We start from the raw sequence: 17,779 nt of genomic DNA on the forward strand, positions 1-17,779 counted from the left end.
CTCTCATAATAAGCAGATGCTATCATTCTTTGGCCCTTCAGAAAGCCAACAAGCAAAACGCCTTGAGCATCACAAAAAACTGTTGCCATGATGTTTGCTCTTGACTGGTCTGCTTTAGCTTTGACTGGACCACTTCTACTTCTTGGTAGCCATTGCTTTGATTTTGCTTTGTCTTCAGGATCATATGAGTAAAGCCTTGTCTCATCTCTTCTTACAATTCTTCAAAGAAAAGCTTCAGCATCTTGATACCACCTGTTTAAAATTTCCATTGAAAGATCTGCTCTTGTCTGCAGTTGACCTGGGCACAATGGTTCTGGCACCCATTGAGTAGAAAGTTGGTTTAACTTTAATTTTTTAACCAGAATGTGTAAACTGAGCCAATTGAGATGTCTATGTTGGCTATTGTTTCTGCTGTTAATCATTGGTGCTCTTCAATTAAGGCATAAAAAGTTAAATTGTTTCCTTGCAAATTGATGTGAATGGTCTGATTCTGTGGGCCGCATTTTCAGCATCATCTTGTGTCTTCTTAAAACAAGCTATCTATTTATAAACTGCTGATTTCTTTGGGACTCTTGCCTCCATAAGCTTTTTGTAAAGTGTCAATGATTTTACCATTCTTCAACCCCAGCTTCACCATAAATTTGGTGTTTGTTTTTGCTCCAGTTTTAGCAGAATTTATGTTGCTTTGGTAGGGAATCTTTTCAAACTGATACCTTATGCTTCCTAATGCCTCAAACTAGATCCTATTCAGTGAGGTAATAACAAGTTAGTATGAGTTTATTTTGGTGCAAAAAATTTTGAAATACGTGCATAGTTTTTTTATAATGCACATTTTCTATGAACTTTTTGAAGCCCTCTTGTTTGTATAGTATCATTTTCCCCATTTTATTGTTTTGTTGTTATACATTTAGGGGATACAAGTGCAGTTTTGTTATACGGATATACTGTGTAGTGGCAAAGTCTGGGCTTTTAGTTGTACCCATTGCCCAAATAATGAACACCGTACTCAGTAGGCAGTTTTCAACCCTCACCTCTCTCCTACCTTCCCAACTTCAGAGCTCCAGTGTCTATTATTTTACTCTGTATGTCCATGTGTACCTATTGTTTAGTTCCCACTTACAGAAGAAAACATGGCATTTGACTTCCCATTTCTGAGTGATTTTACTTAGAATAACGGCCTCTAGTTCCATGCATGATGCTGCAGAAACCATGATTTTGTTATTTTATGGCTGAATACTATTCCATATATATATAATGGAATATGAATTCAGACAAGATTTTTAATAATTCAGACAAAATTTATATATATATTTTCTTTACCAAATCTCTGTTGATGGACACTTAGGTTGATTCCAAGATTTTGCAATTGTGAATAGGGCTGTGATATACTCTTTTCCATAAAGATTGTACTAATATACATTCCCACAAATGGTGTACAGTTGTTCCCTTTTCTCTGCACACTCCCCAACATCTGTTGTCTTTAGACTTTATAATAATAGTCATTCTGACTGGTGGAAGGAGAAATCTCATTGTAGTTTTAATTTGCATTTCTCTGATGATTAGTAATGTTGAGCATTTTTTCTTATGTTTGTTAGCTGCTTGAATGTCTTCTTTTGAAAAATGTCTTTTCATGTCTTTTGCCTGCTTTTTAATAGGGTTTTTTTTTCTTGTTGAGTAGTTTGAGTTCCTTGTACATTCTGGATATTAGGGCTTTGTTGGATGAATAGTTTGTAAATATTTTCTCCAGTTCTGTAGGTTGTCTGTTTACTCTGTTGATTATTTCTTTTGCTTTGCAGAAGCTTTATTTTAACTAAGTCTCATTTGCCTATTTTTATATTTGTTGCACTTGCTTTTGAGGTCTTGGTCATAAATTACCTGCCTATGCCAATGTCCAGAAGAATTTTTCCTAGGTTTTCTTCTGGAATTTTTATAGTTTCGGGTATTACATTTAAGTATTTAATCCATCTTGAGTTAATTTTTGTATATAGTTAGAGATAGGGATCTAGTTTCATTCTTCTGCACATGGTTATCCAGTTTTCCCAACACTGTTTATTAAATAGGGTGTCCTTTGCACAAGGTATCCTTCAACTTAGTTGAATATCCGTTGGTTGAGGGTATGTGGCTTTATTTCTGGGTTTGCTATTCTGTTCCACCGATTTATGTGTCTATTTTTATGCACAGTATCATGCTGTTTTGATTACTGTAGCCTTGTAGTATAATTTATAGTCAGGTAATGTAATGCCTTCCATATTGTTCTTTTTGCTTAGGATTGCTTTGGCTATTCAGGCTCTTTTATGATTCCATATAAATTTTAGAATTGTTTCTTCTAATTCTGTGAAAAATGACACTAGTAATTTGATAGAAATTGCATTGAATCTGTGGATGGCTTTGGATAATATGGTCATTTTAATGATATTGATTCTTTCAATCCATGAGCATGGAATGATTTTCCATTTGTTTGTGTCATCCACTATTACTTTCATCAGTGTTTTGTAGTTCTTCTCATAGAGATCTTTCACCTACTTGGTTAAATGTATTTCTAGTGATTTTATTGTTTTGTAGCTATTGTAAATGGGATGAGCTTTTGTTTTGGTTCTGAGCATGATCTTTATTGATGTATAAAAATACCATTGATTTTGTATCCTGAAACTTTACTGAAGTCATTTATAAAACTTAGGAGTCTGTTGGAGGAGTCTTTGGAGTTTTCTAGGTATAAGATTGTATCATGGAGCAAACAGTAACTCTTATTTCTTTCACTTGCTAGATTGCTCTAGTTAAAACTTCTAGTACTATGTTGAATAGGAGTGGTGAAAGCTAGCATTCTTATCTTGCTCCAGTTCTTGGGGGAATGCTTTCAGCTTTTCCCCATTTAATATGATATTGGCTGTGGATTTGTCATGTATACGTTTTATTAATTTAAGGTATTTTCCTTTGATGTCTAGTTTGTTGAGGGTTTTATCATGAAGGGATAATGAATTTTATTGAATACTTTTCTGCATCTATTAAGAGGATCATATGGTTTTAAATTTTAATTATTTTTATTTGCTGAATCATATTTATTGATTTCCATATGTTGACCCATCTTTGCATTCCTGGAATAAATACCACTCAATCATGGTGTATCTTTTTGACGTGCTGTTGGATTTGGTTTGCTAGTATTTTTTTTTTTAAGGATTTTTGCAGCTGTATTTATCAGGGATGTTGGCCTATAGGTTTTGGTTGTTGTTGTTGTGTCCTTGTCTAGCTTTGGTATCAAGGTGACGCTGGCTCCACAGAGTGAATTAGGGAGGATTCCCTTCTCCTTGATTTTTTGGGAATACTATCGGTAGGATTGGTACCAGTTCTTTGTACATCTAGTAAAATTTGGCTGTGAATCCATTTGGTCCTTTGCTCTTTTTATTGTTCTTGGGAGATCTTTTATTACTGATTTATTTTCACTACTCATTATTGGTCAGTTAAGGATTTGTGTTTCTTTCTTGTTTAATCTTGGGAAGTTGTATGTTGCTAAGAATTTATGCATTTCCTTTAGGTTTTCTAGTTTGTGTGTGTAGATATGATCATAGTATTTTCTGATGATGATCTTTTGTATTTCTGTGGCATCGGCTATAATGTCATTTTTATCATTGCTGATGGTGCTTATTTGAATCTTTTCTTTTTTTCTTGGCTAATCTAGCTAGTAGCCTATTAATTTTGTTTATCTTTTCAAAGAAGTAACTTTTCATTTTCTTGATCCTTTTCTTTTGTATTAATATCATTTAGTTCTGCCCTGATCCTTGTTATTTCTTTGCTCCTGCTAGCTTTGGGTTTGATTTGCTCTTGTTTTTCTAGTTTCTTTAGGTGCAACATTAGATTGTTAACTTGTCATCTTTCTATCTTTTTAATGTAAGCATTTAGTGCTATACACTTCTTTTAGCACTGCTTTTGCTGTATCTCAGAGATTTTGGTATATTTGGTCTCTATTTTTATTCATTTAAAAACACTTTTTACTTTCTGTCTTAATTTCATCATTGACCCAATCATCATTCAGGAACAGGTTGTTTAATTTTCATTTATTGCTATAGTTTTGAGAGTTCCTTTTGGTATTGATTTTTAGTTTTATTTTAGTGTGGTCCAGGAAGATATTTGATATAATTTTCATTTTAAAAAAATGTATTTAGACTTACCTTGTGGTCTAGTGTATGGTCTGTTTTGGAGAAAGTTCCATGTGCAGATGAAAAGAATGTATATTCTGTGGTTTTTGTGTAGAATGTTCTGTAAAAATTTGTTAGGTCCATTTGGTCTAGAGTACAATTTAAATCTGGATTTTCTTTGTTGATGTTTTGTCTCAATGATTTGTCTAGTGCTGCCAGTGGGATGTCGAAGTTTTTTCCTATTATTGTATTGCTGTCTATCTCTTTTTTTAGGTCTAGTAGTATTTGTTATATGAATCTGGGTGCTTTAGTGTTGGGTGCATTTATATTTAGGATTATTATGTCTTCTCATGGAATTGATTTCTTTATCATTATATAATTATCTTCTTTGTATTTTCCCACTGTTGTTGATTCAAAGACTGTTTTATCTGATAAAGCGTAGGTACCCCTGCTCACTTTTAGCTTCAATTTGCATGAAATTTCTTTTTCCACCCTTTTACTTTGAGTCTGTAAATGTCTTTACCCTTTAGGTGAGTTTCTTGCAGGCAGCATATGGTTGGATCCTGTTTTCTAAATCAATTCCACCAGTCCATATCTTTTAAATGGACCATTTAGTCCATTTACATTCAATATTTACATATTGATATATGAGGTTTTATTCCTGTCATAATGTTAATTGTTCCTTGGCTGCTCTGTGGTCTCAATTGTGTGATTGCTTCGTAAGATCAGTTTCATACTTTCATGTGCTTTTATGATGATGAGTATTGCCCTGTTGTTTCCATGTTTAGAACTCCTTTGAACATTCCTTGTAGGTCAAATTTAGTGGTGATTAATTTCCTTAGCATTTGCTTGTCTGGGAAAGATTTTATTTCCCCTTCATTTATGATAATTAGTTTAGCAAGATATAAAATGCTTGGCTGGCAGTTTTTTTTTCTTTCAGAAGACTGAAAATAAGACTTCAATCTCTTCTGGCTTATAAGGTTTTTACTAAGAAGTTGATTGTTAGTCTGATGGGATTTCTTTTACACATGATTAGACACTTTTTTCTTGCTGATTTAGGATTTATTTTTCCTTCATGTTGACTTTGAATAGTCTAGTGACTATTTGCCTTGGTGAGGTTTTTATGGCTAAGAGTCTTCCACAAGTTTTCTGCAGTTCTTTTATCTCACTGTCTAAATCTCTAGCAAGACTAGGGAATTTTTCCTGAATTTGTCCCTTAAATAGATTTTCCAAGCTCTTTACTTTTTCTTCTTCTCCCTCAGAAACTCAAAGGTTTGGTTGCTTTAAATAATTGCATATTACTCAAAGACTTTTATTGTTTTTTAAATTTTTTTCCTCATTTTTGTTTGACTGGGTTAATTTGAAAGAATTGTCATCAAGTTCTGAAATTCCTTCTTCAGAATGGTTTAGTTTATTGTTAAGCTTTCAACTGTATTTTGTAATTCTTCAGTGAATTTTTTATTTTCAGAAATTCTGCATGATCTTTTAAAAAGTATCTCTTACATACATTTTTTCATTCATATCTTTAATTGTTTTACTGAATTCTTTGTGTTGGTTTTCAAATTTCTCTGGGACCTCATTGAACTTACAATTCACATTTTAATTATTTACCTGTCATTTCAGAATTTTCATTTTGGTTTGGATCCATTGTTGAAGAACTAGTGTGATCTTTTGGAAGTGTTGAAACACTGGGTTTTTTTCATATTCATGGTGTTCTTACACTGGTTCCTTCTTATCTGCAGAAGCTGACTTTTTTATTTTTGAATTTACTTTTGTTCGAATTGGACTTTAAAAATTTTTATCTTTCCTCCTTGAGAATGTGACTGTTAATGTATGTTGTGTAGGTCATTTGGCTTTGATTCTGGGTGTTTTCCAGGGACCAAGGCTCTGTATGATTTCCTTGGGTTATAGATAGCCTTTGTGTGATGGCTTTCTCAAATGTTGGTTCAAGTAGCAATGTACTGGGCATGTAAGCAGGCTCATTCTAACTGGCGTGAGATAGTATCTCATTGTGGGTTTGATTTGCATTTCTCTAATGACCAGTGATGATGAGCTTTTTTTTTTTTTCATATGTTTGTTGGCCACATAGATGTCTTCTTTTGAAAAGTGTCTGTTTATACCCTTTTCCCACTTTTTGATGGGGTTGTTTATTTTTTTTCTTGTAAATTTGTTTAGGTTCCTTGTTTATTCTGGATATTAGCGCTTTGTTAGATGGATAGATTACAAAAATTTTCTCCCATTCTGTAGGTTGCCTGTTCACCCTGATGATAGTTTGTTTGCTGTGCAGTTTAATTAGATCCCATTTGTCAATTTTAACTTTGGTTGCAGTTGCTTTTGTTGTTTTAGTCATGAAGTCTTTGCCCATGCCTATGTCTTGAATGGTATTGCCTAGTTTTTCTTCTAGGGTGTTTATGGTTTTAGGTCTTATATTTAAATCTTTAATCCATCCTGAATTAATTTTTGTATAAGGTGTAAGGAAGGGATCCAGTTTCAGCTTTCTACATATGGCTAGCCAGTTTTCCCAGCACCATTTATTAAATAGGGAATTCCTTCCCCATTTCTTGTTTTTGTAAGGTTTGTCAAATATCAGATGCTTGTAGCTGTGTGGCATTATTTTTGAGGCCTCTGTTCTGTTCCATTGGTCTATATATCTGTTTTGGTACCAGCACCATGCTGTTTTGGTTACTGTAGCCTTGTAGTATAGTTTGAAGTCAGGTACCACGATGCCTCCAGCTTTGTTCTTTTTGCTTAGGATTATCTTGGCAATACAAGCTCTTTTTGGTTCCACATGAAATTTAATGTAGTTTTTTCTAATTCTGTGAAGAAAGTCAATGGTAGCTTGATGGGAGCAGCATTGAATCTATAAATTACTTTGGGCAGTATGGCCATTTTCATGATATTGATTCTTCCTATTCATGAGCATGGAATGTTTTTCCATTTGTTTGTGTCCTCTCTTATTTCCTTGAGCAGTGGTTTGTAGTTCTCCCTGAAGAGGTCCTTTCCATCTGATCTCGACTCACTACAACCTCCGCCTCCCAGGTTCAAGCAATTCTCCTGCCTCAGCCTCCTGAAGCTGGGATTACAGGCATGTTCCACCGTGCCCAGCTAATTTTTGTATTTTTAGTAGAGACGGGATTTCACCCTGATGGTCAGGCTGGTCTCAAACTCCTGACCTTGTGACCCACCTGCCTCAGCCTCCCAAAATGCTGGGATTACAGGCATGAATCATTGTGCTCAGCCTAGATTTTCTAGTTTGTTTGCATACAGGTGTTCATAGTATTCTCTGATGGTAGTTTGTATTTCTGTGGGATCATTGGTGATATCCCCTTTATCATTTTTTATTGTGTCTATTTGATTCTTCTCTCTTTTCTTCTTTATTAGTCTGGCTAGTAGTCTATTTTGTTGATCTTTTAAAAAACCCAGCTCCTGGATTCATTGATTTTTTGAAGGGTTTTTCGTGTCTCTATCTCCTTCACTTCTGCTCTTAGTTATTTTGTGTTTTCTGCTAGCTTTTTAATTTGTTTGCTCTTGCTTCTCTAGTTCTTTTAATTGTAATGTTAGGGTGTCAACTTTAGATCTTTCCCGCTTTCTCATGTGGGCATTTAGTGCTATAAATTTCCCTGTAAACACTGTTTTATCTGTGTTCCAGTGATTCTGGTACGTTTTGTCTTTGTTCTCATTGGTTTCAAAGAACTTATTTATTTCTGCCTTCATTTCGTTACTTACCCAGTAGTCATTCAGGAGCAGTTTGTTCAGTTTTCATGTAGTTGTGTGGTTTTGAGTGAGTTTCTTAATCTTGAGTTCTAATTTGCTTGTACTTTGTTCTGAGAGACTGTTTGTTATGATTTCTGTTCTTTTGCATTTGCTGAGGAGTGTTTTATTTCCAATTATATGGTCAATTTTAGAATAAGTATGATGTGGTGCTGAGAAGAATGTATATTCTGTTAATTTGGGGTGGAGAGTTCTGTAGATGTCTATTAGGTCCACTTGGTCCAGAGCTGAGTTCAAGTTCTGAATATCCTTGTTAATTTTCTGTCTCATTGATCTGTCCAGTACTGACAGTGGGGTGTGAAAGTCTCCTACTATTATTGTGAGGGAGTCTACATCTCTTTTTAGGTCTCTAAGAACTTGCTTTATTAATCTGGGTGCTCCAGTATTGGGGGCATATATATTTAGGATAGTTAACTCTTCTTGTTGCGTTGATCCCTTTACTATTATGTAATGCCCTTCTTTGTCTTTTTTCATCCTTGTTGGTTTAAAGTCTGTTTTATCAGAGCTAGGCTTGTAGCCCCTGCTTTTCTTTGCTTTCCATTGCTTGGTAAATATTCCTCTATCCCTTTATTTTGAGCCTATGTGTGTCTTTGCATGTGAGATAGGTCTCCTGAATACAGCACACGGATGGGTCTTGACTCTTTATCCAGTTTACCACTGTGTGTCTTTTAACTGGGGCATTTAGCCCATTTACATTTAAGGCTAATATTTTAATGTGTGAATTTGATCCTGTCATTATGATGCTAGCTGGTTATTTTGCACATTAGTTGATGCAGTTTCTTCATAGCATCTATGGTCTTTACACTTTGGTATGTTTTTGCGGTGGCTGGTACCGGTTTTTCCTTTCCACATTTAGTGCTTCCTTCAGGAGCTCTTGAAAGGCAGGCCTGGTGGTGACAAAATCCCTCAACATTTGCTTGTCTGTAAAGGATTTTATTTCTCTCACTTATGAAGCTTAGTTTGGCTGCATATGAAATTCTGGGTTGAAGATTCTTTTCTTTAAGAATGTTGAATATGGGCCCCCACTCTCTTCTGGCTTGTAGGGTTTCTGTGGAGAGATCTGCTCTTAGTCTGATGGGCTTCCCTTTGTGGGTAACCTTTCTCTGTGGGTGCCCTTAACATTTTTTCCTGCATTTTGACCTTGGTGAACCTGTCGATTATGTGTCTTGGGGTTGCTCTTCTCAAGGAGTATCTTTGTGGTGTTCTCTGTATTTCCTGAATTTGAATGTTGGCCTGTCTTGCTAGGTTGGGGAAGTTCTCCTGGATAATATCCTAAAGTGTGTTTTCCAACTTAGTTACATTCTTCCTGTCACTTTCAGGTACACCGATCAAATGTAGATTTGGTCTTTTCACATAGTTCCATATTTTTTTGAGGCTTTGTTCATTCCTTTGCGTTTCTCTAATCTTGTCTTCATGCTTTATTTCATTAAGTTGATCTTCAATCTCTGATATTCTTTCTTCCACTTGATTGATTCAGCTATTGATACTTGTGTATGCTTCACGAAGTTCTCATGTTGTGTTTTTCAGCTCTATCAGGTCATTTATGTTTTTCTCTAAACTGGTTATTCTAGTTAGCAGTTACTGTAACCTTTTATCAAGGTTCTTAGCTTCCTTGTGTTGGGTTAGAACATGCTCCTTTAGCTCAGAGGAGTTTGTTATTACCCACCTTCTGAAGCCTACTTCTGTCAACTCATCAAACTCATTCTCCATCCAGTTTTTTCCCTTGCTGGTGAGGATTTGTGATCCTTTGGAGGAGAAGAGGCATTCTGCTTTTTGGAATTTTCTGCATTTTTGCGCTGGTTTTTCCTCATCTTTGTGAATTTATCTACCTTCGATCTTTGATGTCGGTGACCGTCGGATGGGGTTTTTGCGTTGGTGTCCTTGTTGTTCATGTTGATGTTATTGGTTTCTGTTTGTTAGTTTTCCTTCTAACAGGCCCCTCTGCTGCACGTTTGCTGGAGGTCCACTCCAGACCCTGTTTGCCTGGGTATCACCAGCAGAGGCTGCAGAACAGCAAAGATTGCTCCCTGCTTCTTCCTTGGGAAGCTTCATCCCAGAGAGGCACCCGCCAGATGCCAGCCAGAGCTGTCCTGTATGAGGTGTCTGTCGACTCCTGCTGGGAGGTGCCTCCAAGTCAGAAGGCACGGGGCTCAGGGACCCACTTGAGGAGGCAGTCTGTCCCTTAGCAGAGCTCAAGTGCTGTGCTGAGAGATCTGCTGCTCTCTTCAGAGCCATCAGGGAGGAACATTATGTTTGCTGAAGCTGTGCTCACAGCTGCCCCTTCCCCCAGGTCCTCTGTCCCAGGGAGATGGGAGTTTTACCTATAAGCCCCTGACTGGGGCTGCTGCCTTTCTTTCAGAGATGCCCTGGCCTGAGAGGAGGAATCTAGAGAGGGAGTTTGGCTATAGTGGCTTTGCCAGGCTACGGTGGGTTTTGCTCAGTTCGAACTTCCTGGTGGCTTTGTTTACACCGTGAGGGGAAAACTGCCTACTCAAGCCTCAGTAATGGCAGACACCCCTCCCCGCACCAAGCTTGAGCATCCCAGGTCAACTTCAGACTGCTGTGCTGGCAGCAAGAATTTCAAGCCAGTGGATCTTAGCTTGCTGGGCTCCATGGGGGTGGGATCTGCTGAGCAAGACCACTTGTCTCCCTAGCTTCAGCTCCCTTTCCAGGGGAGTGAATGGTTCTGTCTTGCTGGCATTCCAGGCGCTATTGGGGTATGAAAAAAAATCCTGCAACTACCTCAGTGTCTGCCCAAATGGCTGCCCAGTTTTATGCTTGAAACCCAGGGCCATGGTGGTGTATGCACCTGAGGGAATCTCCTGGTCTGCAGGTTGTGAAGACCATGGGAAAACCATAGTATCTGGGCAAATAGCACCATCCTTCATGGCACAGTCCCTCATGGCTTCCCTTGGCTAGGGGAGGGAGTTCCCTGGCCCCTTGCATGTTGCTGGTGAGCTGATGCCCCACCCTGCTTCTGTTGGCCATCTGTCTAACCAGTCCCAATGAGATGAACCGGATACCTCAGTTGGAAATACAGAAAACATCCGCCTTCTGTGTTGGTCTCGCTAGGAGCTGCAGACCAGAGCTGTTTCTATTTGGCCATCCTGCCAGCCCTCCTTCATGTTGGGTCTTTAACTGCCATTGTACTTGTCAGTTAGCACACAGTTTAGCAGAAATGCTGCTTTGCTGACTTGACTTGATAAAATTTGGTCAAGAGTCTTATTATTTGTCTTTTTGCTGTGGATTTTTAAGAAAGTTGTTATCTTCATGGTCTGATTTCTTTTTGAGACAGAGAGTCCCACTCTGTCCCCAAGGCTGGAGTACAGTGGCCTAATCATGGCTCACTGCAGTCTGGAACTCCTGGGCTCAAATAATCCTCCTACCTCAGCCTCCCAAGTATCAAGGCATATGTCACTACACCTGGCTATGTCACCATGCCCAGCTAATTTTTTAATTTTTACTTTTTGTAGAGATTAGATTCCACCGTGTTGCCCACACTGGTCTTGAACTCTTGAGCTCAAGCTATCCTCCCACTTTGGCCTGGTAAAGTGCTAGGATTATAGGCATGAGCCACCCTGCCTGGCCCATGATCTGATTTTCAACAAGATATAAGCTAATCCTAAGACGATACTTTCACTCTCTCTCTCTCTCGTTCTCTCCCTTTCTACTTCATCTAAGAACCATAGTGGCAGAGATATAACTGTTAGGCAGTAATTTTACTAAATTATATAATTCTCCATTTCACACTCTTAAAGTTCAAGTTTGGTGATAATTATTCCACTATATTACTAATATTTCCACATAAATTTTTTTCCAGATACTTCAGATTATGACAAGGGTTGAAAGAGCCTCACCATATTGGCTGCTTAAGAACAAAAGAAGGTATTGATAAGGAGGTAATGAAGAGAGAAATACAGTCTAAAATATAATCTGTAGTTTGTTTGGTCAACTATAACAGAAAGAAATTGAGGCAGAGAGGTTATGGACCATCCTTTCTCATCCCCACCTCCACTCTGCACCCTGTGTAGACCAGGAGACTGAAGTGAAAGCTCTTGAGTTTGACTTCTTTCTCCCAACATATCCACCCTGGCTTATAAACACCACCTCATGAGCTAACTAACTAACTTTCATCATTAGAAAGGTGAAATGAGGCAATCCCTCTAAGATCCATCACTGAATCAAGAGTTAAGTAAGAACCCCCACACTCTGCCTCATTTTGAGATTTTTGGCAAATAAGACTGATTTTATTTCTTTATATTGTTATTGTACATAAAGTAAAACAAGACAATATTTGGGCAGCACATGAGGCAGAAAACACAGATGAGGCAATGATTGATCTAGACAATTTGTAAAGACATCGCTATTATTTCAGATCAAACAGATGAGCAAGAACACATACCCATGGAGAGGTTAATTGATAGGATCAGTGAAAAGCTCTATGGGCATTGAGACACAATGAGATATTGAGATCATTACAAAGGCATTGCTGTGAACTCTTCTTTGGAAAACATCCATCCCATTTATTAAAAGAGTTGAATTCATCTCCCTTTTTATGTGTTACAACAGAGAAAGATGACCTTGCAGATTGTCTAGAAGTATTATATCTGACAGCACACATGGGAGACTCTTTATGGTTGGAAAAGCCACTGCAGATCTTTGTGTCTTAACATTTCTAACTCAAAATAACAAAACAGGGAAAATGATTTAGGTTCCTTGGGATGAAAAGACTCTCCAGTTGTGCAAGTATGAATATATAATTATAAAATTATACATGTGTACAGAAAGTATTATTTGTAATTGTGTTCATATTTATTTATTTTGATACCTACTGCTAACTTATCTAGGATTAAAGATGGGAAACTAACTGAACTGTACAATTTCTTCTGAATACATGAGACCTGTTGGTCATTTTTAGATTAGAGACACAATGTTGGTAAGCAAAGAAGGCTTCCTGAAATCCAAACAGGACTGCTTCCTTTTAGAACAAGGCTAGTGCAGAATCACCTCCTTTTTATCCGCAGGCCAAGTCCTGCTTCCAGGTAGGTTTTCTTTATCCCAACTGATGATTACAGAAAGTTTGTACTAACATTTAAATATTAGGAGTATTCACGTAACAACTTGGATATTTATCTCCTCTTGGAAATCAGAGGATCTGACCACAGAGAGGTCTTAAATCCCCAGAGGGTCACCACTGGCTCAAAGCAAACAGTGGTTCCCTTTCCTTTCAGTTTGCAGTAGGTACCAACCTGCCCACTATTCATGCACTCAACTGCCTGCTCCTGTAGGAATGCAAGTTTGTTACCTTTTGTCTAGGGATTGGATTTCAGCTTTACAAGTTCAAAAACTTTATTTAAATTCATAAAAGGTTTGGTCCAGCATAAAACATCTGTTTCGCAGTATCCAAAGATTCCACCTGACAAACAAAATGCCCATTTGTTAACTTATCATTAGAAATGTTGACCAGGCCAAACACCGTGGCTCACGTCTGTAATTCCAACACTTTGGGAGGTTGAGGCAGGATCCGCCTCACTTGAAGATCTGGATCACATGAGGTCAGGAGTTCGAGACCAACATGGCCAACATGGTGAAACCTATCTCTACTGAAAATAAAAAATTAGCCAGGCGTGGTGGCACACATCTATAATCCCAGCTACTCAAGAGGCTGCAGCAGAAGAATCGCTTGAACCCGGGAGGCAGTGGTTGCAGTGAACTGAGATCACGCCACTGCACTCCAGCCTAGGCGAGAGAGTGAGACTCATCAAAAAAAGAAAAAAAGAAAAAGGACTTATTGACCAAACCATTGTTATCAAAAGTTCCATACATTCTCTCTCAAGTATATGACTCCCTAAGAAAATCAAGCTGATGGCCGGGCGCAGTGGCTCACGCCTGTAATCCCGGCACTTTGGGAGGCTGAGGCTGGCGGATCACGAGGTCAGGAGATAGATACCATCCTGGCTAACACGGTGAAACCCCGTCTCTACTAAAAATACAAAAATTAGCTGGGCATGGTGGCAGCAGCCTGTAGTCCCAGCTACTCCGGAGGCTGAGCCAAGAGAATGGCATGAACCTGGGAGGTGGAGCTTGCAGTGAGCTGAGATCCTGCCACTGCACTCCAGCTTGGCCTGGGTGACAGAGCGAGACTCTGTCTCAAAAAAAAAAAAAAGAAAATAAAGCTGACAATGTTTGGTGAGTTGAAAAATGAGGCAAGTGGGTAGTTAGAGAATCTTAAAGACAAATTCACATTGTGATGTATCAAACCCTTCTGGGCCGGCACGATAGCTCACGCCTGTAATCCCAGCACTTTGGGAGGCTGAGGCAGGTGGATCACCTGAGGTTAGGAGTTCGAGACCATCCTGGCCAACATAGTGAAAACTCATCTCTACTAAAAATACAAAAAATTTTCTGGGTATTGTGGTGGTCACCTGTGATCCCAGCTACTCGGGAGGCTGAGGCAAGAGAATCGCTTGAACCTGGGAGGTGGAGGTTGCAGTGAGCCGAGATCACACCATTGCACTCCAGCCTGGGCATCAAGAGTGAAACTCTGTCTGAAAAAAAAAAAAATCCTTCTAAGACCTCCAACCATGGGCATCTGCCTCCTTGGGCAAATTGCTCAGGGAGTGGATTTCAAGATGTTTTAGTAGTACCAAGCGCATGGAGGTGGCTTAGGTGAGTCACTGTCCCTCTGCTCCCCAAGCCCCACCTCCCACATACTTGAACACTTCAACCAGAGCGCCTCACTTTTTACATGGGCCACCCCATTTGAAAAGTGAATCTGTCTGTTCATAGAGGGGGGCACTTAAACATAAAAGGAATTTTGAAGGCCACAAGCTTAGACACTCTTCTTGATGTTGGCAGAGACATCATCAATTGAGAACTGGCTTATGGTAACAGAAGACGGCACTATCACAAGCCAGCTGTGTTTCCTGAGAATATTCCCTTGGGCTACTGATAGAGATTTCACTCCTACATAGAAATAATATCTTAGAATAGGTTGCTCTGCAGATAACTAGGCTCACACTTTCAACATCGCTCCTTGCAATCACTGTTTCAGAGAGTGGCTGTTTCCTAAACTCACTGCATCTTAAGAACTGTGTATGGGTTATAGGATATTCACATACAGAATATGCATAGTTAAACAGGATTCTTCTTTAAGGGAAGAGAAGCTGCTTCCCCAATTTGGTATGTATCTTGCAACTTAGATAAGACTTTATAGAACGAGGAAATTCGTGTCTACTTCTAACACCCTCAATGGAGAATATCCTGTTTTAAAATGTTAGTATGTTTATATGTATACATAAATAATATGTTGATATGTATAGTTTTTATACGTGTGTATGTGCATGTATACTCCATTGAGAAAATCACTTTACTCCACTGAGAAAATCATTCAGTTTAATTATGTGCTCTTATTCAAGCGCATTGTTTGCTGTTGACAGTGGTAATGGCAATAAATGCACTGATACATTTTGGCCTTTTTGAGGTTTTGAAGAGTAACATGGTAACCTTTAGAAGGGCAGCTGATACAACAACATTCCATTTCTGATTTTCCTCTGGAAGGTTTTTTAAAAGCTCACATTTCTTCTAATCCCCTTACGTGACATTTTCTCCCAAACTATGATTTTGGCTCTATTTCTGTGCAAATGAATTGAATTTTATGAAGGAGTCTTTGGAAAGAGAGGGATGTGTGCTGTCCAAAAGATGCCCATAGAGCTTTTTATAGCATTTAAAACTTACCCACAAAATTCTGACCACAGGATAATCGAACCACAGATACTGCTTCTGTATGTTTACCTATAAAACTACTATACATTAAATATCTGAAATATTTTAATACTTTGTATTCTATTTATTATCATAAGTTAATTCAACATTTGATGGAGAAGTTAATGGAATCCCAATAACTCTTGAAATTTTTAATTACTTATTATGGGTTCATGTTCAAAATTTTTTCTTCTAAAAAATTTCCATTATCATAAGTATTTTCATCCACCTCAAACCCATAAAAAGAATAAACCATGCTATGCTTACAGAGTTATGCCAGAATCTTTGTTGTGGGATTCTTTTCTAATGAAAGTGGTTTTTTTTTCTGCCCATTTTTAAGTGAGGGACACAAGTAAATGTTTGAAAACAAAGCGAGAGTTTTTAAACCAACATGTTTGGTATCCAAAATATGAATAACATACAGGTGACTGAAAAGAAGATATTTCCTAAAATTTCACCAAGGAATGTCAGGTATGAGCTACTTGTTGGGAGAGCCAAAGATCGAGTTGTTGAAATAATACCAGGAACAGCTCATGGAAGCTGCCTTCCACCAACTACATCTTATTTCACCAGTGGAATTTGGAAGCTGTCAGCAAAATGTAAAATGTATCCCCAACGGCCTTCTCTGGTTTCTTCCTGGCTGTTCATTTGGTTTATTTAACATCATTTGCTTTCTTTTTAAACCCCTAAGGGACAGAGATGGGGAAGAGTGTGTATTAAAAACCATTCTGTCTCCTTTTAGTTCCTCTGAGCCAGATGCGTATTTTCCTTGAGCGTATCATTGGTATTTCTGCTAAAATTCCAAGGGATTCAGAGAAAATCCATCTATATTTTTAATAAACATGCTGAAAATTTTTTGTTCAGTTGACAGAGTTTAAGTAAATGATCTGTGTTACTGCTAGAAAATCATCTTATTTGCCCATTTTTTGTATTTGCACATATAGATTCTCCTGAAACTGTTTAGAATAAAGCAAGTCTTGTGAAGACCCTGTGTGAAGCTGGTGTTTAACTCATAGATTTAATAAATTAATGTCTAGAATAGTCAGAGAGACCCAACGCTTTGGCTGTTTGAAAAAAAGACTTGTTATAATTCTCAACTTAGCTATTCTATTATACTATCCAAGTCAGCACAGCATGTTACAGGCTTGGGATAGTATTGTGTTATGAGTATGATAGAATTACCTGTGGGTTGAGATGAGTTCAGTTATTTGGTTGAACTATGTGAAATTGCAGTTATTTGCCTGCTTTTGCCCTGTATAGTGGGGATTTCATACGATTCAATTTAATGTATAAGGTAATACTTCAACTTAAATTCATGTGAATCAATTTCTAAATTGATCTATCAACTATACAGTAGCTCCTGAAAGGGGAAAAAGTGGGACAATATTGAGAATGCTGAATAAAATAAGGCCTACTTAGTAAGATACGTAGAAATCTCTGTTTTTTTTCTCTAAGAGTCCAACTAAGCTAGGTAAGCCTTAGCACTGATCACATCATCCAGAGAGTGGGCTAGGGCATTCTCTGGGCTCCCTGTGGCCAGGACATGTTGCTACACTGAGAAGGACAGCATTGGGCCAGTGGCCACTGGATGGCAGTTGCTCAGGAGAGATGTTACAGGTAAAGACAGGATGTTGTCTCTGGATTTTAGCTTATATAACATCACTCAGTTCAAACTTACTCACATCAACAATGAATGGGTGATCCATTAGCCTGCTATCCTCTTATGCAAAGGTTAAGTCTTGAAGGACAAGTATGAGCACCTAAATGAAAGGAGGGAAGTGGAGCTGTGATGATTCAGACAGAGGAATCAGCCAGAACAGAGACTGAGCTACTTGGGAGAGGTGTCTGACCTGTCTTCGTTACATAGGTTCTTACTACCAACGTCATTCCTCATTTTCTCTTTCCTTCTAATGACTCATCTTCCTTCCGCTAAGTACAAGTAGACTGCTAACAATTTTATATGTATATGACTTAAAATTTTTTTGAAAAACAGATCATTAGAAACACTGAATTTGCCCTCAAGAGAATAGTTGACAATTATCTTGAAGGTGATAATTTTACCGTAGTTAAGAGTGTGAAATTTGGAATCAGAAAGACCCAACTTTGATTCTTAA

General features: G+C 38.0%; 1 annotated feature.

Moving 5' to 3' along the window:
• Positions 10,587-11,086: an enhancer, noted in NCBI's record as "H3K27ac hESC enhancer chr5:7162929-7163428 (GRCh37/hg19 assembly coordinates)". NCBI's record gives its function as "activates a minimal SCP1, AML or CMV promoter by ChIP-STARR-seq in primed H9 embryonic stem cells {active_cell/tissue: H9 hESC(primed)}" and the evidence as "EXISTENCE:reporter gene assay evidence [ECO:0000049][PMID:30033119]".

The sequence above is a fragment of the Homo sapiens genome, chromosome 5, assembly GCF_000001405.40.
Source record: "Homo sapiens chromosome 5, GRCh38.p14 Primary Assembly".
NCBI classification, from domain to species: Eukaryota; Metazoa; Chordata; class Mammalia; order Primates; family Hominidae; genus Homo; species Homo sapiens.